Below are 19,260 nucleotides of genomic sequence, written 5' to 3'. Positions count from 1 at the left end.
GTCACTCAGCTTGTGAGAGATGCTGTTGATGTTTTCTCATCTTTATGGTCAACACCATCCACTCACCTGGTCAAGACTGGCAAGGCCTTCTATGCACCAGGCGTTAGATCTACAGGAGCTCAATGGTTCCTAGCAGAAGAAAGAGAGTCTCCCGGGTAACCTCTGTTCGAAATTCAAAGACAATGCAGAATGGGAATTCATTTATTTTGCTAAACAATCACATTTTCAGCAATAAATATTAACATCATAATGGAACCACGATGTATTTATTTCCCTATTTACAATCCTCTTTATTCCAAACAGCATGTAAAGCAGCTTATAGCAGAAGGTACCTAATGAAAATGCTGATAAAATAGAGAATCGGGATGAGAGAAGATATAAACAGAGTGAGAAAACTAAGACCACAGAAAGAAAGAAAATAAATGTTTCAGATCACAAGGGGCCACATAATTGCCATGGCTGAGCTTCAAAGTTGGATCTGAGATTCCTGGCAGCCGAAAGGAAAATGGAAATGTGATCTTCTTATGTGATTCTCATAATCAAAAAAGAGGAGTCTCAGGGAAAGCAGAGCCTGTCCTGGGACTGGTTTCGAAAGGGAATTTCTCCCTGGAGACTTATGGGGGGACAGGGGTGTTGTGATGCCCTCTCCTCCAGCCACAGCCTTCTGCACAGGCATGTGGATTTTTGGAGGGCGGTTTCTGCAGCCATCTTTGCAAAAGCTGGCGCCCGACATCCAGTGAAGCTTGCTATGATTTGAATGTGTCCCCCAAATTTCATGTGTTGGAAACCCAATCCCCAAATCCGTGTGTTGATTGGTGGTGGGCCCTTTGGGAGGTAGTTGGGATTAGATAAGATTATCAGTGTTGGGCCCTCATGATGGGGACTGGTGGCTAGAAGAAGAGGAAGAAAGGCCAGACCTAAAGTGCACACCAGCTCTCATCATGTGACGTCTTCTGCCGTGTTATGATGCGGCAAAAAGTTCCTCACCAGATGCTGGTGCCACGTTTTTGCACTTCCCAGCCTCCAGAACTGTGAGTGAAATAAACTTCTTTTCTTTAAATTACCCAGTCTGCGATATTCTGTTACAGCAACCGAAATGGCTAAGACACAGTCCAATGAAACGGGTCCTAAAAGGGGCCAGGATGACACAGGCACAAACTGGGGCTTTAGCCTGACTGAGGGTGGACTTTTGAAGGTGGAGCAGAAGCCTCAGAAGCTTCTGCCTTAACTCCAGTAGTTTAAAACCCTTTTTATTGATGAAGGACTTCCTCCCTCTGGGAAGAGTCTGCAAATGCCATGAGGTGGGGGCAGGAAGGAAGGCAACATGATTGGGGCAGGAAATTGGGGATCAGTGGCCTTAAATCTGCCTCATTACAAGGCCACTTGGATCCTCTGGGACCCAGGCAAAAAGCCTTTTCCTGGTCACTGGCTTTGGCATCCAGGACATTTCTCAAGCCTCCTCCTGCCCTAGCAGAGGCCTCAGCTTGAGTCCATCCCTTTGACTTGGGGAAGCACCACCCTGCTTTGGGGCCAAAAATTTCAATTATGAGGACGTGGTCAAGCCCTGCCCACTCCAGCCAAGAGTCAGTGACTGGGGGAGAGGGGAGGGGATGTGAAGAGAGTGTCTGGGGCTGGGGGCGGGTGAGATGCAGAGAAAGAGCCACAGCCGCAGACACAGACGAGCAATGGGATTGGGGGCCCAGCAGGGGTTAACCAAGCAGAAAACCACCAGCGAGAGGAAAATATGTGCGAAGCATTTTTGTAATTCCTAGCTGATCGGTCCAGCTCCTGCCCAGACGGCCAATGAATCAAAGCCGGGATGGGCACTACCTGTCAGCAGGCTCTTTCCTGGCACACTCACTCAGGCCCCACCTCCCAGCGAGCCAGCTGGAACACTCCCCATTTCCCTGAAGGACCTTTCTTTGCAGATAGATGAGAAGTGTGCCATAGGCAAGGCCCAGGCACTGACAGCCCGTGGGTCCAGAACTCTCAGCCTCCTCCCCTCCCTGCTTTCCCTGCCCTGTCTCAAACAGGAGCCTTACCTGCACTTCCCACTGTAGGCGGTTGGATGGTGGCCCCCCAGAAAAGATATAGCTGAGTCTTAATCCCCAGAACGTGACCTTATTTGGAAAAACAATCTTTGCAGACGTAATTCAGTTAAGGATCTCGAAGCGAGATCATCCTGGATTTCTGGGTGAGCCCTAAATGCAGGGACAAGTGTCATAAGAGACTAAGAAAGGAGAGAAGAGGAGAAGGCCACGTGAAGACAGGGGCTGAGATTGGAGTGATAGGCAGCAAGTCAAGGAAGGCTTAGGGCCACCAAAAGCTGGAAGACAGGGAAGGCTCCTCCCTCAGAGCCTTGGAGGGAGCACAGCCCTACTGACCCTTTGATTTCTGACTTTTGGCCTCCAGAACTGTGAGAGAATAAATGTCTATTGTTTTAAGCCACTCGGTTTGTGGTAATGTGTTAGGCAGCCTTGGGACACGAACACACCCATATCTTTCCAAGGCCTATATGCCACCTGGACCAAATGTGTCCAAATCAGCCTCCATGTGGCTCGGGCTATTCCCTCCTCTGTGTCCTGGACTCAGCCTGTGCTGCTGCAACAGCCTTCAGACCCATCCCCCTGCCTTGAGCCTTCCAGTCTGACCGAACCATCTGCTTACTTCAAAAGCCTTTAAAATTCCTGCTTAAGCTGCTGACGGGGTAAGGCCAACTCCTCCTTGTAGACCTAGTTCCCAGCTTCAAGGCTAAGTTCATGTGTGCACAGTCTGGGCAGCTGCCCAGGGCCCTCATGCAGGAATTCTTAATGGTTTTTCAACCAGCGACCTGGCATTTCCATTTTACAAAGCATGTAGCTTGTTCTGTTCAACGGAACCTCTGGGCTCACCTCCCTCACAACCACTTCCCTCAGGCCATAGTGGTAGCTTGGAGGTCTGTTAAATGTCACAGAACTTTTGTCTAGACTGCCCTTTTTCCTTTGCTATGGAGAAAATTCTGATCCTTCAAGGTCCTGTTCAAATGTCACCTCATCCTTCAAGTGCTCTTTGCCTCTTTCAGGTTTGACTCTCCTAAGTCCATCTGAACTCCAATTGTAGGTTTTTTTTTTTTTTTTTTTTTTTTTTTTTTGGAGACAGGGTCTCACTGTGTTGCCCAGGCTGGAGTGCAATCGTGTGATCTTGGCTCACTGCAACCTCCACCTCCTGGGTTCAAGTGATTCTCGTGCCTCAGCCTCCCAAGTAGCTGGGACTACAGGCATGCACCACCACCCCTGGCTAATTTTGTATTTTTAGTAGAGACGGGGTTTTGCCATGTTGGCTAGGCTGGTCTCAAACTCCTGACCTCAAGTGATCTGCTGGACACTGGCCTCCCAAAGTGCTGGGATTACAGGCGTGAGCCACTTTACCCGGCTAATCGTAGGTTTCTACTGGGCTCTAGAATTCACCAGACTCTCTTTATAGGATCATGTTTCACAAGGACCTACTGTTTATTGGCCCCTACTATGCACAGAACACATGATATATACTTTATGTAGGAAATAGCAATAACAGTTTCCATTTATTAAATGCCCGTGCCAGGCTACACTAGGTAAAATGAATGGAGCACAGGCCAGTTGTGTCTACACCTCTGGGAGCTTAGAGATGCAGAACATTTTTTGTTCTTTTTTATTTTAGAGACTGGGTCTCGCTCTGTCATCCAGGCTAGAGTTCAGTGACACAATTATAGCTCACTGCAGCCTTGAACTCCTGAGCTCAGGTGATCTTCCCATCTCAGCCTTCCAAGTACCTAGGACTATAGGTGCACACCACTGAGCCTGGCTAACTTATTTTTGTAGAGACAGGGTCTCACTATGTTGCCCAGGCTGCTCTCAAACTCCTGGCTTCAAATGATTTTCCCACCATGACATCCCAAAGTGCTGGGATAAGAGGCGCGAGCCACCATGCCTGGCCAAAATACGGAATCTTGGCCCCACTTCAGACTGCTGGTTTGGAATCTGCGTTTCACTGCGATTCTCAGGACATTGTTCATTTCATCAGATGAGAGCTGGTGTGCAGTACCCAGCACAGGGCCAGGGCTCTGACATGCTTGGATTTGAATCCTGGCTTTATTTTTTCCAGCTGTGGGAGCTTAGGCAAGTTTCTGAAATTCTCTGTGCCTCAGTTTCCTCATCTGTCCCATGATAGCCATTGTAAGAAGCAGATGTGAAGATGCCCGCGAGGCTGGGTAAGCAGGCCGGGCAGCAGCTGAATGTCAGTGCCCAGTCTGCCTCCTCCTATGCTGCCCATAGGGCTGTCCATTCTTGATCACCTCTAAAACTCTCATAAGCCCTTCCACATGGAGTAAGGGGAACCCCAGATCTCTTGGAGGCTGCAGAGAAAGTACAGAAATGTGTGGGGGGTCTTTCTGTCTCCCCAACCCCAGCCTCCAGAGCCCCCCACTCAGTTCAGCCTCCCGCATTCTCTGCTTGCCTCCCCTCCCCCACTCCTCCCACAGGAGGTCCAGCTTCCCAGCAGCAGGGAACCCCCGAGGGAGGCACTGGAGGAGGGGGAGCCGGGCGTGAGGTCAGCCCCACGTCAGCCCCTTTCCCTTTCCCCACCGTGGTTGGGAAGAGGCCGCTGAGCGGGTGCCAGCCATGGGGGAGGTCTGTCCCTCGCTCCCGGGCCAGACCACAGGCAGCCACGCTGGGCTGCAGCCAGGCCGGGGGGAGGTGTACTCAGCCCCCAAGCTCCTCTCTGTCTGGCCCTCGGGACCCCTCCCCGACCCCAGATCCAAGCAGCCGCCAAGGGCTCTTCCAAGCAGGTGAGGTCATTGTCTCCACCAGACCAGCCTGACGCAAGGAAGTCAGCCACCCACGTGGCAGGATTCATGCACCCCAAGTCCTTTCTCCAAACCACCTCCCCTGCTGGCAGCTCTGGGGCCACCACTTGGTTCCCTCCAAGGGGTCTTCAGGATTTGACCCCAAGCACCTGCTGGGTGGAAACAGAGCTGAGTGGGGGAAGGAAGAAACATGGAAAAGGCAGATTCCAGGACCACCCTCCAGAGTCCACTTGGGTCCATGAAAAGAACAAGCTCCCGGGGTGACCCCGTGCACAGGCAGGTTCGGGGACCTCTGGCTTCGAGCATCGTTTGCTGTCTACGGAACAGCAGGCTGCATCAGCTAGTGTTCGTTCTGTGCTCACAGAGATTTTTATTACTGCTTGGCCGAAACTAACCCTTCCTTCTGCTTTTTAGGGTTTCCCGATAATGCCTGGTACCATTTTGGGTGCCCAGAATGTCTTTGCCAACGGCCTGGGGAAGTTCGTGGCCTCCAGAGCAGAGGATGAGTGCAGGTTCCCTGGTGAGCCCTTGAGGATGTTCAAACCTCAGGGAGTCAAAATCAATAGTTCTCGGTCAGAGACGATCTTGCCTCCAGGGGACATTTTGCGATGCCCCGAGACGGTTTTGGTTGTCTTGCATAACTGGTGAGGTGCTGCTGGCATCGAGAGAGTGGAGGCCACGGGTGCTGCTAAACATGCCTCAATGCACAGGACAGCCCCCTCCTGCCGCCAAGAATCATTTGGCCCAAAATGTCAGCTGTGCCGAGGCTGAGAAGCCCTGGTCAAAGGAATCCATCAATTAACCTACCACCTCTCAGCATCTCACCTGCTCTCCGACTATGGTGATAAAGAAGACGGCTGGCACGGTGGCTCATGCCTGTAATCCCAGCACTTTGGGAGGCCGAGGCAGATGGGTCACGAGGTCAAGAGATTGAGACCATCCTGGCCAACATGGTGAAACCCCATCTCTAGTAAAAATACAAAAATTAGCTGGGTGTGGTGGCGCGTACCTGTAGTCCCAGCTACTCGGCAGGCTGAGACAGGAGAATCGCTTGAACCCGGGAGGCGGGGGTTGCAGTGAGTTGAGATCATGCCAGTGCACTCCAGCCTAGCAACAGAGGGAGACTCCGTCTCAAAAAAAAAAAAAAAAGAAGAAGAAGAAGACAAGAACAAGAGCCATCTCCCTTGAAACTGACTGTGGGGCTCCTCGGACTCCGATCCTGTTTGTGTGCATATATGTGTGCAAACACACTTGCACACACTCGCGGGACAGCCCAAGAGGCCAATGAGAACTGCAAGTTCACACACAGAAGCCTTGGGCAGCCCCTGGAAAGCTCAGTGGGCAGGAAGCTAGGAGGCCTTTCCTCCTGGTCTCAGGCAGCCTCCCCCTTGCTGTGCTCTCTGGACGCATCCCTTCACCTCTCTGAGCCTTGGTTTTCGTGAAGTGAAGCTGGTGTAAGAGGATTCAGGCTTTAGAGCCAGACTGCCCTGGGTGTGGGTCCTGGTTCTGTCCCTGACCGGCTATGGGAACCAGGACTCCTGATTTTTCTTCTCTGTGTCCCCATTTCCTCGTATGCAAAGTGTGGACCCTGTGTCTCATCTCACAGGGCTGCTGGGAAGACAGATGGGCTAATATAAGGAAGACACTCTGCCCGGTGTTCCCGTACTGTGGAGCATTCCAAAATGGCAGCTTTCTTTCCTGTTACTGCGAGGTTCACACCAATCCAGTTATGCCTAGGGATCTGCACACCGCTACCCACCAGGCTATGGTTGCAGATAAAATACAGGACACTAAAGTTCAAGTTTAACTGGATGTCCTGAATTTTGATTTGCTAAATCCATCCAGCTGCCTGTTTTTGTAAACAAAGCTTTATTGGAACACAGCCACGCCCATTCATTTACATATTGTCTTGGTTATTTTTGTGTGTGTTATAATAGAATCCACTAGTCATGACAGAGACCTTGATGGTCCATGAAGGCTAAAATAGTTAGTACCTGACCCTTTACAGACAGGTTGCTGAGCCCTGGTCTATGTCTGGAAATAATTGCCTGAGAGTGGTTGGGTGTGTGTCTGGGTCCCATGGAGTAAGTGTCCCCTCTTTTGGGTGGTGGGTAGAAGAGAGGTGTGCAGAGGAAGGTGGGCACTCTCAGTCATCTTAGGAACACAGCCTGCAGGTGACCAAGCCTGGGGGTCCAGGGGCATGGGTTCTTTCTTTTTTTTTCCTTTTTTTTTGAGATTGGGTCTTGCTCTGTTGTCCAGGCTGAAGTGTAGTGGCACCATCACAGCTTACTGCAGCCTAGACCTCCTGGGCTCAAGCAATCCTCCAGGGCCTGGGTTCTTGAGCTAATCCTTTGCTGACTTTCAAATGAGTCTGACAGTCTTTTCTGCAGTTTTTTTTTTGAGACAGAATCTTGCTCTCTTGCCCAGGCTGGAGTGCAGCGGTGGGATCTTGGCTCACTGCAACCTCTGCCTCCTGGGTTCAAGCGATTCTCGTGCCTCAGCCTCCTAAGTAGCTGGGATTACAGGTGTCCGCCGCCATGCCTGGTTATTATTATTATTATTATTATTATTATTATTGTTATTATTGTATTTTTAGTATTTTAGTAGAGATGGGGTTTCACCATGTTGGCCAGGCTGGTCTCAAACTCCTGGCCTCAAGTGATCTGCTCACCTCGGCCTCCCAACGTGCTGGGGTTATAGGTGTAAGCCACTGCACCCAGCCTTTTCTCTAGTTCTTACTTCCTTTGTTTGTTCAACAAATATATATATATAATTTTTTTTTTAGACCGAGTCTCGCTCTGTCACCAGGCTGGGAGTGCAGTGGCACGATCTTGGCTCACTGCAACTTCTGCCTCCTGGGTTCAAGTGATTCTCCTGCCTCAGACTCCTGAGTAGCTGGGGCTATAGGCGCCTGCCACCATGGCCAGCTAATTTTTGTATTTTTAGTAGAGACGGGGTTTCACCATGTTGGCCAGGATGGTCTCGATCTCTTGACCTGGTGATCCACTCGCCTCGGCCTCCCAAAGTGCTGGGATTACAGGCATGAGCCACCACGCCCGGCCTGTTCCACAAATATTTACGAACCACCTACTATGTTCTGGATGACGGCTGGATGCAGGTCTCAGTCCTTATGTACACAGGATGGTATCAGCGGGTGACAGAATGCCCTGGAAGATGACACTATCGCAGAGCCTGGGGAGGGGCTGATTTAGATGGGTGGGCGGGAAAGTGACATTTGAGCAGAGACCTGATGGAGGAGCCTCAGTTTCCCCATCTGCTGCCTCCTTAGGGCTTCCAGGGCTGCTTATGGTAGGAATAGGTTGGCTCTGGCCAAGAGACTGCGTTTCTCCCAAACCCTTTAGGGTAAGACCCCTTGGATAGGGGCCTCCCATCTCACCCTCTGGTCCTCGGAGGGGCTGCCACCTGGTGGGGAAGAGGGTGGGGCCATGGAGGTAAGGGGTGAGGAAAGGGGCAGGGAGGAAGGGACTCATCCTGACAGTGGTCAGCAGCGCCCTCCCTTCCTTCCTGTGTTCCCAGAAGGGGCGTCCTGTCCCGAACCCGCAGCTGGCCAGGCGGACCTGACCCCAGCTGGAGGGCTGTGCTGCGTGGGCTTCCTGCAGGGTGTAGCTCGGACCCCCTGGATGGCTGGTTGCCCTTGGCAAAATGGGCCAGAGTTTCCCTCACAGCCTTAGGGAATGGCCTTGGCGGGCCCCTCTAAGCCCCTGACCCGGGTGCCCTTGGAGGTAGGTGACGGCCCAGGCGTGTAGTGGAGGGTGGTGGGGTGACAGCGGTCAATGCATGGGCCCTGAGGCCCCCCCGAATGCCGGCCAGCATCATTTCCTGCTCCACTTTCTCTCTTCTGCATAGGAGTTCTCTGGTTCTCTGTAGATGAGTCCCTTCATCGACAGCAATTTTCTGCTGGACTAATCTGGTGAACAAATTGCCAACAGTGATGACATGAGGCCCTGTCAGGGGTGCTGGTGGCTCCATGGCAACACCACTAGGTCACACATTTACATTTTAATTGGGGCCTTCAGTGCCCTACGGCAAACGAGTGACTAATGCTGGAATTTTAGGCACCGGGGAACATGGGGAGTAAGGCGCCTTGAAGTACAGCACATATTTAAAAAGTCATCCCTTACAGGTGAATAGGGCTTTGGCATTTACTAACATAAAACTCATCTCATCTCATCGGCATTCGTTGACTTAATTCCATAATAGCTCTACTGGAGAGGCAGTTCTGTTTTTTTTTTTTTTGGAGCAGGATCTTACTCTGATGCCCAGGCTGGAATACAGTGGCACCATCACAACTCACTGCAGTCTCTCTCCTTTTTTTTTTTTTGAGATGGAGTCTCACTCCTGGCGCCCAGGCTGGAATGCAGTGGCTCGATTTCGGCTCACTGCAACCTCCACCTCCCAGGTTCAAGCAGTTCTCCTGCCTCAGCTTCCCAAGTAGCTGGGATTACAGGCATGTGCCAACACGCCCAGCTAATTTTGTATCTTTAGTAGAGATGAGGTTTCACCATGTTGGCCAGGCTGGTCTCAAACTTCCGACCTCAAGTGATTTGCCCACTTCGCCCCCCTAAAGTGCTGAGATTACGGGCATGAGCCACCACACCCAGCCACAACTCACTGCAGTCTTGATCTTCCAGGCTCAAGCAATCCTTCTGCCTTAGCCTCCCCAGTAGCTGAGATCACAGGCGGGTATCACACAGCTATTTTTTTTTTTTAATTTGTAGAGATGGGGTCTCACTATGTTGCCCAGGCCGGGCAGTTCTTATTTTAGACTTTCATTCATGTATTCATTCAGCATCTGGCTCTGTGCCAGGTACTGAACCCCAGGGTGGAAACACAAGATCCCTTCTACAGAGACACTATGTGGTTACTGTAATACATAAGATAACTATTGAATAGGAGGCAGCAAGGAGGAAATGGAGGCCCAGAGAAGTGGTGGGTGCTCTCGCAAAGAACATACCTCCCTACCCAAGCCTCCTCACTCCTGGTCTATACTAGCATTGCCCAAAGTACTTCCTCTGTACTAGCATTGCCCAAAGTGAGTTGTGTTGCTCTCCATTCACAAGGCAGTGCACCAGCATTCAAAGAAGAAAACCTGACTTTGCATCAGAAAAGTTTGGGAAAGAGTGGGTTAAACAAAATGAAAAAGAAGTGTTTGTTGCAGGACTTATCAGAGCCTTAAGGGCAGTCAGGTGGGGACAGAGTATGCAGCATGTCTGTGGATTCTTTGCCAGCAGCTCTTTCAGGACCACATTCCATGGACACTGGGAAAAGCTGACCCAACCACCTCCTTTAACATCTTTTTTCTTTTTTTCTTTTTTTTTTGAGACAGAATCTCACTCTGTCTCCCAGGCTGGAGGGCAGTGGTGCTATCTCCGCTCACTGCAGCCTCCACCTCCCAGATTCAAGTGATTCTCTTGCCTCAGCCTCACGAGTAGCTGGGACTACAGGCATGCACCATCATGCCAGGCTAATTTTTGTATTTTTTATTAAAGTAGAGATGGCGTTTCACCATGTTGGCCAGGCTGGTCTCGAACTCCTGGCCTCAAGTGATCTGCCCGCCTTGGCCTCCAAAAGTGCTGGGATTACAGGTGTGAGCCACTGCGCCAGGCCTCCTTTAACATCTTCAGCAGCTTTCTCACAGGCCGCCACCTGCCTAGCAGGCGCTGGCTAGATTGTGACTGCAGACCTTTCTCCTCCATCCCCCCAGGTTTCCCCTGTGACTTGGGGTTCTGGAACAGAAGGGGAGTTGACCAGGCACTGCTCCTCCTGCCCTAAATTGCAGCTTCATCCCACACCTGCCAAGCAAGGGGTTGGAGATAAACTCAGGGTGCACCTTCAGAGGGGTCCCTGCAGAGGCCTCACCTACCCCTGGCCTCCCAGAGCAATCTTCCTAAAACACAAAGCGGCTGACATAGCTCCTGCTTAAACCAACCGTGGCTCCCTAGTACCTTCAGGACCAAGTTTGAACCTCAGCCTCATTTTCCCCTGGCTTCCTGCTTTCTGCTCCAGCAAAACTGAACTGATTTTGTCCCTGGGACATGCTATGCTCATTCCAGCTTTCCTGGGAAGTCCTTCCCATCCCAGGCATTCCCTCTCACTGGTTTTATTCTTCCTTAGATGTGACTCAACTCAGGTCTCTTTCTTGGGAAAATCCCCCAGGCACTCCCAGGCTGGCCTCTCCCCGACAGTCTAGGAAGTGATCCTGTGAGTGTCCGCCTCTCCAGCAGGACTATAGACTTCCGTTCTTCCCCGCCAGGCCTCAGAGCCACGCTGGCGCTCACAAACATATACCGACTCCTATGTGTCAAGGCTGTTCTGGACACATGGGTTTCCAGGGGGACACCATAAACCCACAAATTGACTGTGTGACCTTGGGCAAGTTCCTAGAGCTCTCTGTGCCTGTCTTCCTCCTCTGAGGAGCAGGCTTACTGTGAGTTGAGAGAGGTTCGGCACAGAACAATGTCTGGCCTGTATGAAACAATGCACGTATTGTGCTACGATGACAATGGTGGTGTTGGCACAAGACTCTTGGGGCACCTGAGGATCCCTGTGTCACTGACTGGCTGGCTTTGGGCAAGAGCCTTTGTCCACCTGAGCCTCAGCATCCTCAACGGCAGAATAAGGTTGTTGAACGGCTGATCCCCGGGTAGGTTCAATGATGTCCCCTCCCCAGCCTCCAAGATACACCTACCTCCTGGAACCCGTGAATGTGACCTTATTTGGAAAAAGGGTCTTTGTAGATGTAACTAAGTTAAGGATCTCTAGATGAGATCATCCTGGAATATCTATGTAGGTCCTCAACCCACAGAAGTGTCCTTATAAGACAATGACAAGTGTCCTTACAAGAGAAAGGGAGAGAGGCTCGAGGCACGCAGGGGAGAAGGCCAGGTGAGGACAGAGACAGAGGCTGGGGTGAGGCAGCCATAAGCTCCGGGGCACCTGGAGCCACCCTCCAGAAACCACCTAGAAGAAGCAGGCAAGGATTCTTCCCTACAGCCTTGAAATGGGTGTGGCCCTGCTGGCACCTTGATTTCAGACTTCTGGCCTCCAGAACTGTGAGTGAATAAATGTCTGTTATTTCAAGCCACCCAGTTTGTGGTAATTTATTATGGCAACCACAGGAAACTAATACAACCCCTAAAGGGCTCTGCCAGCTCCAACAAGAACTGATTCAGAGATTCTCACAAATATCAGAAACGTTTCCCGTGGCCAGCCTCAGGGCTCCCGAAACCTAGAAATCGGGCTCTGGAAGGAGAACCCTTATTCCTTCTCTGGGATATTGATCCTGGGACACCAGCCCTCCCTTCTTCATCATTCTGTAATGACCCACCAGTACTCTTGGCAGTTAGCTGGAGGAATCTTTTGGGATGTTTCCTCATGCCTCTTCCACTTAGCTCAGGCTGTTCCCTATGAGGAAATGCTGTTCCCTGCTGCCTCCATCTGTTACTTGATTACGCAGCCTCCAGATCAGCCCGGACACTTCCTTCTCAGCAAAACCTCCTTTTGCCCCCTCTCCAGCTGCCTGGTAAAGTTAACTCTTGGCCCTTTGTCCTAAGGGCTATGTCTTTATCCATTTTTCTTTTCTTTTTGAGATAGAGTCTTACTCTGTCACCCAGGCTGGAGTGCAGTGGTACAATGATCATAGCTCACTATAATCTCAAACTCCTGGGCTCAAGCAATCCTCCCATCTCAGCTTCCCCAGCAATCGGGACTACAGGCATGTGCCACATGCCTGGCTAATTATTTTAGAGACAGGGTCTCGCTCTGTTGCCCAGGCTGGTCTCAAACTCCTAGTCTCAAGCGATCCTCTTGCCTTGGCCTTCCAAGGGCTGGGGGTTATAGGCATGAGCCACTGTGCCTGGCCCATCTTTCTATTATCAGAGTCTAATTCAATCCTGACCTGAGGGCAGTCACTCAACCCACGCATGTTCACGGGAAGGTGGGCTCCCATCGAAAAGCCCCAGTTTCCAGGTTAAAAGGGCAAGCCCAGCTTTGCTCTGGTCACTCAGTGGATGGCATGGGAGCCCCTGATAGTGAAGCTGAGAACTCTGGCTTCAGCCACTTGCAAGGGACTCCACCTCTCTGAGCCTCAGTTCCTCAATCAGTAAAAAAAGGAAAGGAATGCATGGTAAACCTCAAAGCGATGAGAAAATGCTTGTGAGTCTTTTCAGAGCTCCGGCCTTGTGACAGTGGCTCTCCTGAGGCTGTGGCCACTGCTGTCAGGCTGGGACCAGACCTGGGGTGTCTCCATTCAGGGCTCTGTCATCCAAACACCGCAGGGTCTGACCGGGTGTGCTCATGTCCCTGGTCTGTAACCCTTTCTGGGGTAATGAGTTCCATAAGTTTATCTTTGCTGGGTACTGTAAATTCCTGTTTACCAAGGGACCCACAGAAATAAACAGAATACTCGGATGACCAGAATTTTCCATCTCAGCATGTTCGAGGATAGCCCGAGTCACAGCTCTCACCGGCAACCTTGCAGAGCCCTGAGGGCATCCTGTAAAGCTGGGATGCGCCTCACCATTAGGTGGGGTCAGTTACAGAATCGCAGATCACGGCAGCCAGGAGGACCTCAGAGAAACCTTGGGAGTTTCTAACCAGGCTCTGAGGATCTCTGTGGGGCTGGCAGGTGACTCAGAGCCACTTTGGGAAGGGTTTTTTTTTTATTGTTCTTTGGGACAGAGAATTGCTCTGTCACCCAGGCTGGAGTGCAGTGCCACAATCTCAGCAAACTCTGCCTCCTGGGCTCAGACAATCCTCCCACCTGAGCCTCCGGAGTAGCTGGGACTATAGACACACACACTGCACTCTGCTAATTTTTGTATTTACTTTTTGTATAGATGGAGTCTCACCATGCTACCCATGGCTGGTCTCGAACTCTTGGACTCAAGTGATCCACCTGCCTTGGCCTCCCAAAGTGCTGGGATTACAGGCATGAGCCACCACTCCTGGCCTTGGGATGGGGTTTTACATATGGGATATTACATGAGATTTTCCTTTAAGAAGTAGGGACTTCTTCTGCTAAAACCAAAATAAAAACACCCGGAAAGCTTGGAAACTGCCAACATAGTTCAAATCTTCATCGCTCTACGAAAGAAACCCCACAAAGACAGCCCCACAAAGGGCGGTGGGCTTCCTGCCAGCCCATGCTATGGCTCCCACTTAATCAGAATATTCAGTTAACAGGAACGCCCTCCGCCTGACCATTTCCCCGTGGGACTTCCCTTGTTTCCCCTAAAGCGTCCTCCTTCTGGCTTTGAAGACAGAGACCAGGTCGGGTATCTGGGGTTTCATGAACGAGGCTGTGGTCACCCTCATTATCCAGGTCATTTCCTCCTACAGGGGAGGCTCCTGCCCACACGTCCTGCCCCTCGTCCTTCCGGTGGACACTGTGGGCCTCTCTCTGGGTTAGAGACCTGTGCACGGAGGAGCCGGACAGCGGGCTGCTTCCCAGGGGTGCATTCAGGGGACTCGAGGGCTGCAGAGTCAGGCAGCCCCAGCTGACCAGGGCTGGTTCACGGATACCCCTGAGCCGATGTGTCTGCCTCAGTCCTCAGTCCCTTAGTACATGTGTGGTGAATCCCTACTATGTGGGGATCCAGAGTTGAACAAGAGCCAACTGGCCCTCCAAGAGCCCAGCGTCCAGTGGGAAGACGGACATGGAGACCCTAGACACGGTGCTATTTAGGGGAGCACAGAGGTGCTGGAATATAATAAAAGATGGGGTGTGAATGGGATGGGTGGGGGAAGGATGAAGGGAGGGCCTGCAGCGGGTGGGAGGGACGCCATCCGGGATGTAAGGAGTTGGAATAAACACAGCCGAGGAGTGGGAGAGGTTATGTAAGAAGAGGTACCAACCCAGGCAGTTACAACATTAAAGGGCATGATGTGTCCAAGACTCTTAGCAGCATGCAGTCCACACGGGCTCAAAAAATGACAGTGACTCTTGTGGTTCCTCGTGTAGAATGACAGAATCCTAGGATCTCAGGGGGTCTTAAAGGTCATCTAAGCCAGAACTTCTTAACTGGGGGCAATTCTGCCCCAGGGCACACTTGACAATGTCTGGAAACATTTTTGGCTGTCACAGTTGGGGATGCTGCTGGCAACTGGCTGTAGACAGCAGGGATGCGGCTGAATATCCTACAATGCCAAGGGCAGCCCCCACCTCCAAGAGTGTGGATCATGCTGAGGTTGAGAAGCCCGGTGCTAGGGTAACCTCCCTCATAGAATCTGCTCCCCTCTGCACTACCTCTTCTGCCACCTGGTTGTCAGGCCTGCACTTGAATGCCCCCAGTGATGGGGAGCTCACCACCCTGCAGGCAACATGTTCTATCTGTAACTGGCTCAGTGTATTCAGAATGCTCTTTTCCATAACGAACTGAATCCCTTCTCCATGTTCCTATAACCTCCTAGGGCATTTGTCCTTGTTCTACCCTTGGGACCACCCGGAACTAGCCTAATTCAGCTTCTACCTAAAAGGCTTTCAAATATTTGATGGTGTGTTTGTGAATCTTTCCTGCTCCAGCCTGAACACCCTCCATGTGACCCAGGAAGTTTGGCTTGGGGTGTCGGGGTGGTCTCTACCTGTGTGAAAAGCACAAGGACCCCAATTACCCCAGCTTGGCAGCCAACGGGGCCAGAGGAAAGCAAAGAGGTGGGTGGTGATGTCCAGGCCCCAGGAGCCCAACATCCCCATGGTTCTCCTGCCTGCTCCGTGATGCTGCTTCTCCAAGCCTCAGTTTTATCTCCTGTCAAATGGGTATAAGGACACCCACCTGGCCTTTTGCACTCGGCACTGTGAGGCTCAGAGGAGGTAAGTAATGAGAAGATGCTTCAGAAAGGTGAAAACACTGCACGAAGAGGTTGATATCCTCACCATCCAAGAAATGGATACCATCACCATACAAGAGGTTAATATCATCATGCCCACGATCCTCCCATCCCTTAGGTCTGCATGGCCAGGTGTTTTCATGCACATTGCTTTGTCTTCCTCCAGTGCACACTCTGTGCTCCCCGACGGCAGAGGGAGAGCAGCACTGGCGGTCCCCATTTTACAGACAAGCAAACTGAGGCTCAGAGACTGCAAATCACACATGGTGGGGCCAAAAGGCTGAACTCTCCAAAAAGCCAAAAGGAGACCCCATGACTCCAAATTCAGGACTCATTAGTGCCAGGGCCACGGTGACTTGGGGAGACCAAGAGAGTATCAGGGCCGAGGAGACAGGAAGCTGGTGGCACCACTGGGGACCGTCATCAGGGCCCGCTCCTCCTCCACACACTTCTTGTGCCCCCTCAAAGCTGCCTGCGGTTGGGTTCCACAAGCCTGACTGGTGGCATGGCCGTGGGCCGTGGCCGGTGTGGCCTGCGCCTGGGGCACCTGCTTCTCTCTCACACCTACCCTCCTCTCTCGCTTCCTCTCGCGGCTTGGGTTTCCTTCCTCCCTTCAAAGCTCACAAGTTCTCTTCTCTAGAGGCCACTTTCTTTTTTTTTCTTGGAATCTGCCCAGGGAGAGACACCTGTGTTTCTGTTTCGATTCCTCCCCAGGCACTTCTGTTTCCTGGGGAGGCCTGAGGGTAGCGGGGACGTGGCCCCTGGGCAGCAGGTCCGGCTCTGTGGCCACGAAGGCCATAGAAGCCTCGGTCCCTCTGTCTCCAGGCCCTGACACCCGACGACATCCCCTCCTCCTGATTCCCCGTCTGCCCTCCCTTTGCCCTCATCACTCCAACCTGAGCCCCAGAGACTCTCAGCCTCAGAGATGGAAGGGCTTTTGTTAGAACCCAGGCCCAGAGAGGGGCAAGGGCTTGCTTGAAGAAACACAGGGGGTAGAGGTAGATGTCGGGGGACTGTCCTTCCCAGGACACCAGGCAGGATTCTCCTCCCTGTCACACCCCAACCTCCACCCAGAACATTCCCTGAGTAGGCTTCCACCCTTTTCACCTGTGACATCTTCTTCTGCCTCTTGCTTTCTTGCCTGACTCATTTTTCAGGACTCAGCCCAATGGCACCTGCTCTAGGAAGCCTTCCTGGATTGCCTCTCCCTTCACCCAAGCTCCCTAGGCTGAGAGGTGTCCCCCTCTCTTCCCATAGCACTGTACTAACATGGCCTCTTGTGGAAAACTTATTTTCACTCCTGAGCTCAGACACCTGTCCTCAGCCAGCCCCGCTCACCAGGTCGTCTCCCTGTGCCCCGCCTGTGCCTGCTGTATTATGACAGGAATCGTTTACTTCTCTATCCTCCCCGACCTGTGAGTTTCTCAAAGCCTGCACCTTCACACTTTTCTTTTTTCAACAGCTTTATTGAGAGAGAATTCACACACTGTAAAATTCACCCATTTAAAGTGCAGAATTCAGTGGTTTTTAGTGTATTCACTGATATTTGCAACCACAGTCAATTTTAGAACATTCTTACCACTGCAAAAAGAGAGCTTGGGCCAGGTGCTCACGCCTGTACTCCCAACACTTTGGGAGGCTAAGGAAGAGGATGGCTTTAGCCCAGGAGTTCAAGACCAGCCTGGGCAACATAGCAAGACCCCCATCTCTACAAAAAGAAAAAAAAAAACAAACTAGCCTGGCATGGTGGTGTGTTCCTGTGACTCCAGCTACTCAGGAGGCTGAGGTGGGAGGATGTCTTAAGGCTAGGAGGTGGAGGCTGCAGTGAGCTATGATTGCACCACTGCACTCAGCCTGGGTGACAGAATAAGGCCCTGGAAGGAAGAAAAAAAGAGAGAGAGAGAGAGAGACAGACAGACAGACAGAGAGAGAGAGAGAAAGGAAGGAAGGAAGAAAGGAAGGAAGGAAGGGAGGGAGGAAGGAGAGAGAGAGAGAAAGAAGAAGAAAGAAAGAAAAAGAAAGAAAGAAAAAGAAAGAAAGGAGAGAGAGAGGGAAAGAGAGAAAGAAAGAGGAAGGAAGGAAAGAAAGAAAGAGAGAGGGTGGAAAGAAAGAGAGAGAGGGAAAGAAAGAGAGGAAGGAAGGATGGAAGGAAGAAAGAAAGAAGAAAGAGAGAGAGGGAAAGAGAGAAAGAAAGAAAAGGAGAGAGAAAGAAAGAAAAGGAGAGAGAAAGAAAGAAGAGAGAGAGGGAAAGAAAGAGAGAGAGGAAGGAAGGAAGAAAGAAGAAAGAAAGAAAAAGAAAGAAAGAAAGAAAGAACCTATACCCTTTGGCTATCACCCCCCATGCTCACCCCCAACCACGAGAAACCACTGATCTTTGTTTCTATGAATTTTCCTATCCTAGATATTTCATACACGGAATATCTATATGGAATTACCACATGTAGCCTGTAGGGACTGGCTTCTTTCACCCGCATAGTGTTTGCAAAGTTCATGCATGTTGTAGCATGGGTGGGACTTCATTCCATTTTATGGCTGAATAACATTCCACTGTATGGATATTCTACATTTTGTTTTTCCATGTGGGTAGTTTCCACATTTTGCCTGTTATGAATAATGCTGCTATGAACATTCATGTTCCTGTCTTTGTGTGTGCCTGCGTTTTCCTTTCTCTCAGGTGCATATGGAGGAGTGAGATTGCTGGGTCACGTGACAACTCTGTCTAATTACTTGAGGAACTAACAGGCTGTTCCGCAGTGGCTGTGCCATTCCGCATTCCCACCAGCAGTGGACAGAGGTTCTGGTTTCTCCACATCCTGGCTATCTCTCGCATTATGTGACTTTATTATTTCTTTTATTTATTTATTTATTTTTTAGAGAAGGGGGTCTTGCTACATTGCCCAGGCTGGTCTTGAACTCCTGGCCTCAAGACATCCTCCTACCTCAGCCTCTCAAAGTGCTGGGATTACAGGCATATACTACCATGCCTGGCCTTATGTGATTTTTTGATTCTAGCCACACCTAGTAGGTACAAAGTGGTGAGTCTTTTTATTTATTTATTTTTTTGAGACGGAGTCTCTCTCTGTCACCCATGCTGGAGTGCAATGGTGCTATCTCGGCTCACTGCAACCTCTGCCTCCCAGGTTCAAGTGATTCTCCTGCCTCAGTCTCCCGAGTAGCTGGGATTACGGAGGTGTGCCACCACACCTGGCTAATTTTTGTATTTTTAGTAGAGACAAGATTTCACCATTTTGGCCAGGCTGGTCTTGAACTCCTGACCTCAGGTGATCCGCCCTCCTCAGCCTCCCAAAGTGCTGGGATTACAGGTGTGAGCCACTGTGCCTGGCCTAGAAGTGGTGAGTCTTAATTCTTTTATTTGCAGGGGGTGAGGCCTGGCTATGGAACTGTCAAGGCAGACCTGGGGCTGGAAGCCCAGCTCTTCAGTGCTGGGGGACTTTGGGCAAGGTCCTTTCCTCTCTGCGGGTCTTGCCACTCTCTTCTGTGGAGTGCGACTCCGGTAGATGGATATGAAATGTGAAGTACTCAGCATGTTGCTGGCCTGCAGCACGTGATCATCCACGTGAACCCCAGTAACA

At 51.2% G+C, this 19,260-nt stretch overlaps 7 annotated features.

Annotated features, from left to right (window-relative positions):
• Positions 1,819–2,321: an enhancer, noted in NCBI's record as "H3K4me1 hESC enhancer chr22:30631328-30631830 (GRCh37/hg19 assembly coordinates)". NCBI's record gives its function as "activates a minimal SCP1, AML or CMV promoter by ChIP-STARR-seq in naive H9 embryonic stem cells {active_cell/tissue: H9 hESC(naive)}" and the evidence as "EXISTENCE:reporter gene assay evidence [ECO:0000049][PMID:30033119]".
• Positions 5,423–6,056: an enhancer, noted in NCBI's record as "H3K4me1 hESC enhancer chr22:30627593-30628226 (GRCh37/hg19 assembly coordinates)". NCBI's record gives its function as "activates a minimal SCP1, AML or CMV promoter by ChIP-STARR-seq in naive H9 embryonic stem cells {active_cell/tissue: H9 hESC(naive)}" and the evidence as "EXISTENCE:reporter gene assay evidence [ECO:0000049][PMID:30033119]".
• Positions 7,939–8,874: an enhancer, noted in NCBI's record as "H3K27ac-H3K4me1 hESC enhancer chr22:30624775-30625710 (GRCh37/hg19 assembly coordinates)". NCBI's record gives its function as "activates a minimal SCP1, AML or CMV promoter by ChIP-STARR-seq in naive H9 embryonic stem cells {active_cell/tissue: H9 hESC(naive)}" and the evidence as "EXISTENCE:reporter gene assay evidence [ECO:0000049][PMID:30033119]".
• Positions 10,166–10,962: an enhancer, noted in NCBI's record as "H3K27ac hESC enhancer chr22:30622687-30623483 (GRCh37/hg19 assembly coordinates)". NCBI's record gives its function as "activates a minimal SCP1, AML or CMV promoter by ChIP-STARR-seq in primed H9 embryonic stem cells {active_cell/tissue: H9 hESC(primed)}" and the evidence as "EXISTENCE:reporter gene assay evidence [ECO:0000049][PMID:30033119]".
• Positions 13,777–14,276: an enhancer, noted in NCBI's record as "H3K4me1 hESC enhancer chr22:30619373-30619872 (GRCh37/hg19 assembly coordinates)". NCBI's record gives its function as "activates a minimal SCP1, AML or CMV promoter by ChIP-STARR-seq in naive H9 embryonic stem cells {active_cell/tissue: H9 hESC(naive)}" and the evidence as "EXISTENCE:reporter gene assay evidence [ECO:0000049][PMID:30033119]".
• Positions 14,277–14,778: an enhancer, noted in NCBI's record as "H3K4me1 hESC enhancer chr22:30618871-30619372 (GRCh37/hg19 assembly coordinates)". NCBI's record gives its function as "activates a minimal SCP1, AML or CMV promoter by ChIP-STARR-seq in naive and primed H9 embryonic stem cells {active_cell/tissue: H9 hESC(naive and primed)}" and the evidence as "EXISTENCE:reporter gene assay evidence [ECO:0000049][PMID:30033119]".
• Positions 15,759–16,389: an enhancer, noted in NCBI's record as "H3K27ac-H3K4me1 hESC enhancer chr22:30617260-30617890 (GRCh37/hg19 assembly coordinates)". NCBI's record gives its function as "activates a minimal SCP1, AML or CMV promoter by ChIP-STARR-seq in primed H9 embryonic stem cells {active_cell/tissue: H9 hESC(primed)}" and the evidence as "EXISTENCE:reporter gene assay evidence [ECO:0000049][PMID:30033119]".

The sequence above is a fragment of the Homo sapiens genome, chromosome 22 (assembly GCF_000001405.40).
Source record: "Homo sapiens chromosome 22, GRCh38.p14 Primary Assembly".
NCBI lineage: Eukaryota > Metazoa > Chordata > Mammalia > Primates > Hominidae > Homo > Homo sapiens.
The sequence above is the reverse complement of the archived record's forward strand: the minus strand, read 5'-3'. Positions and strand labels throughout refer to the sequence as shown.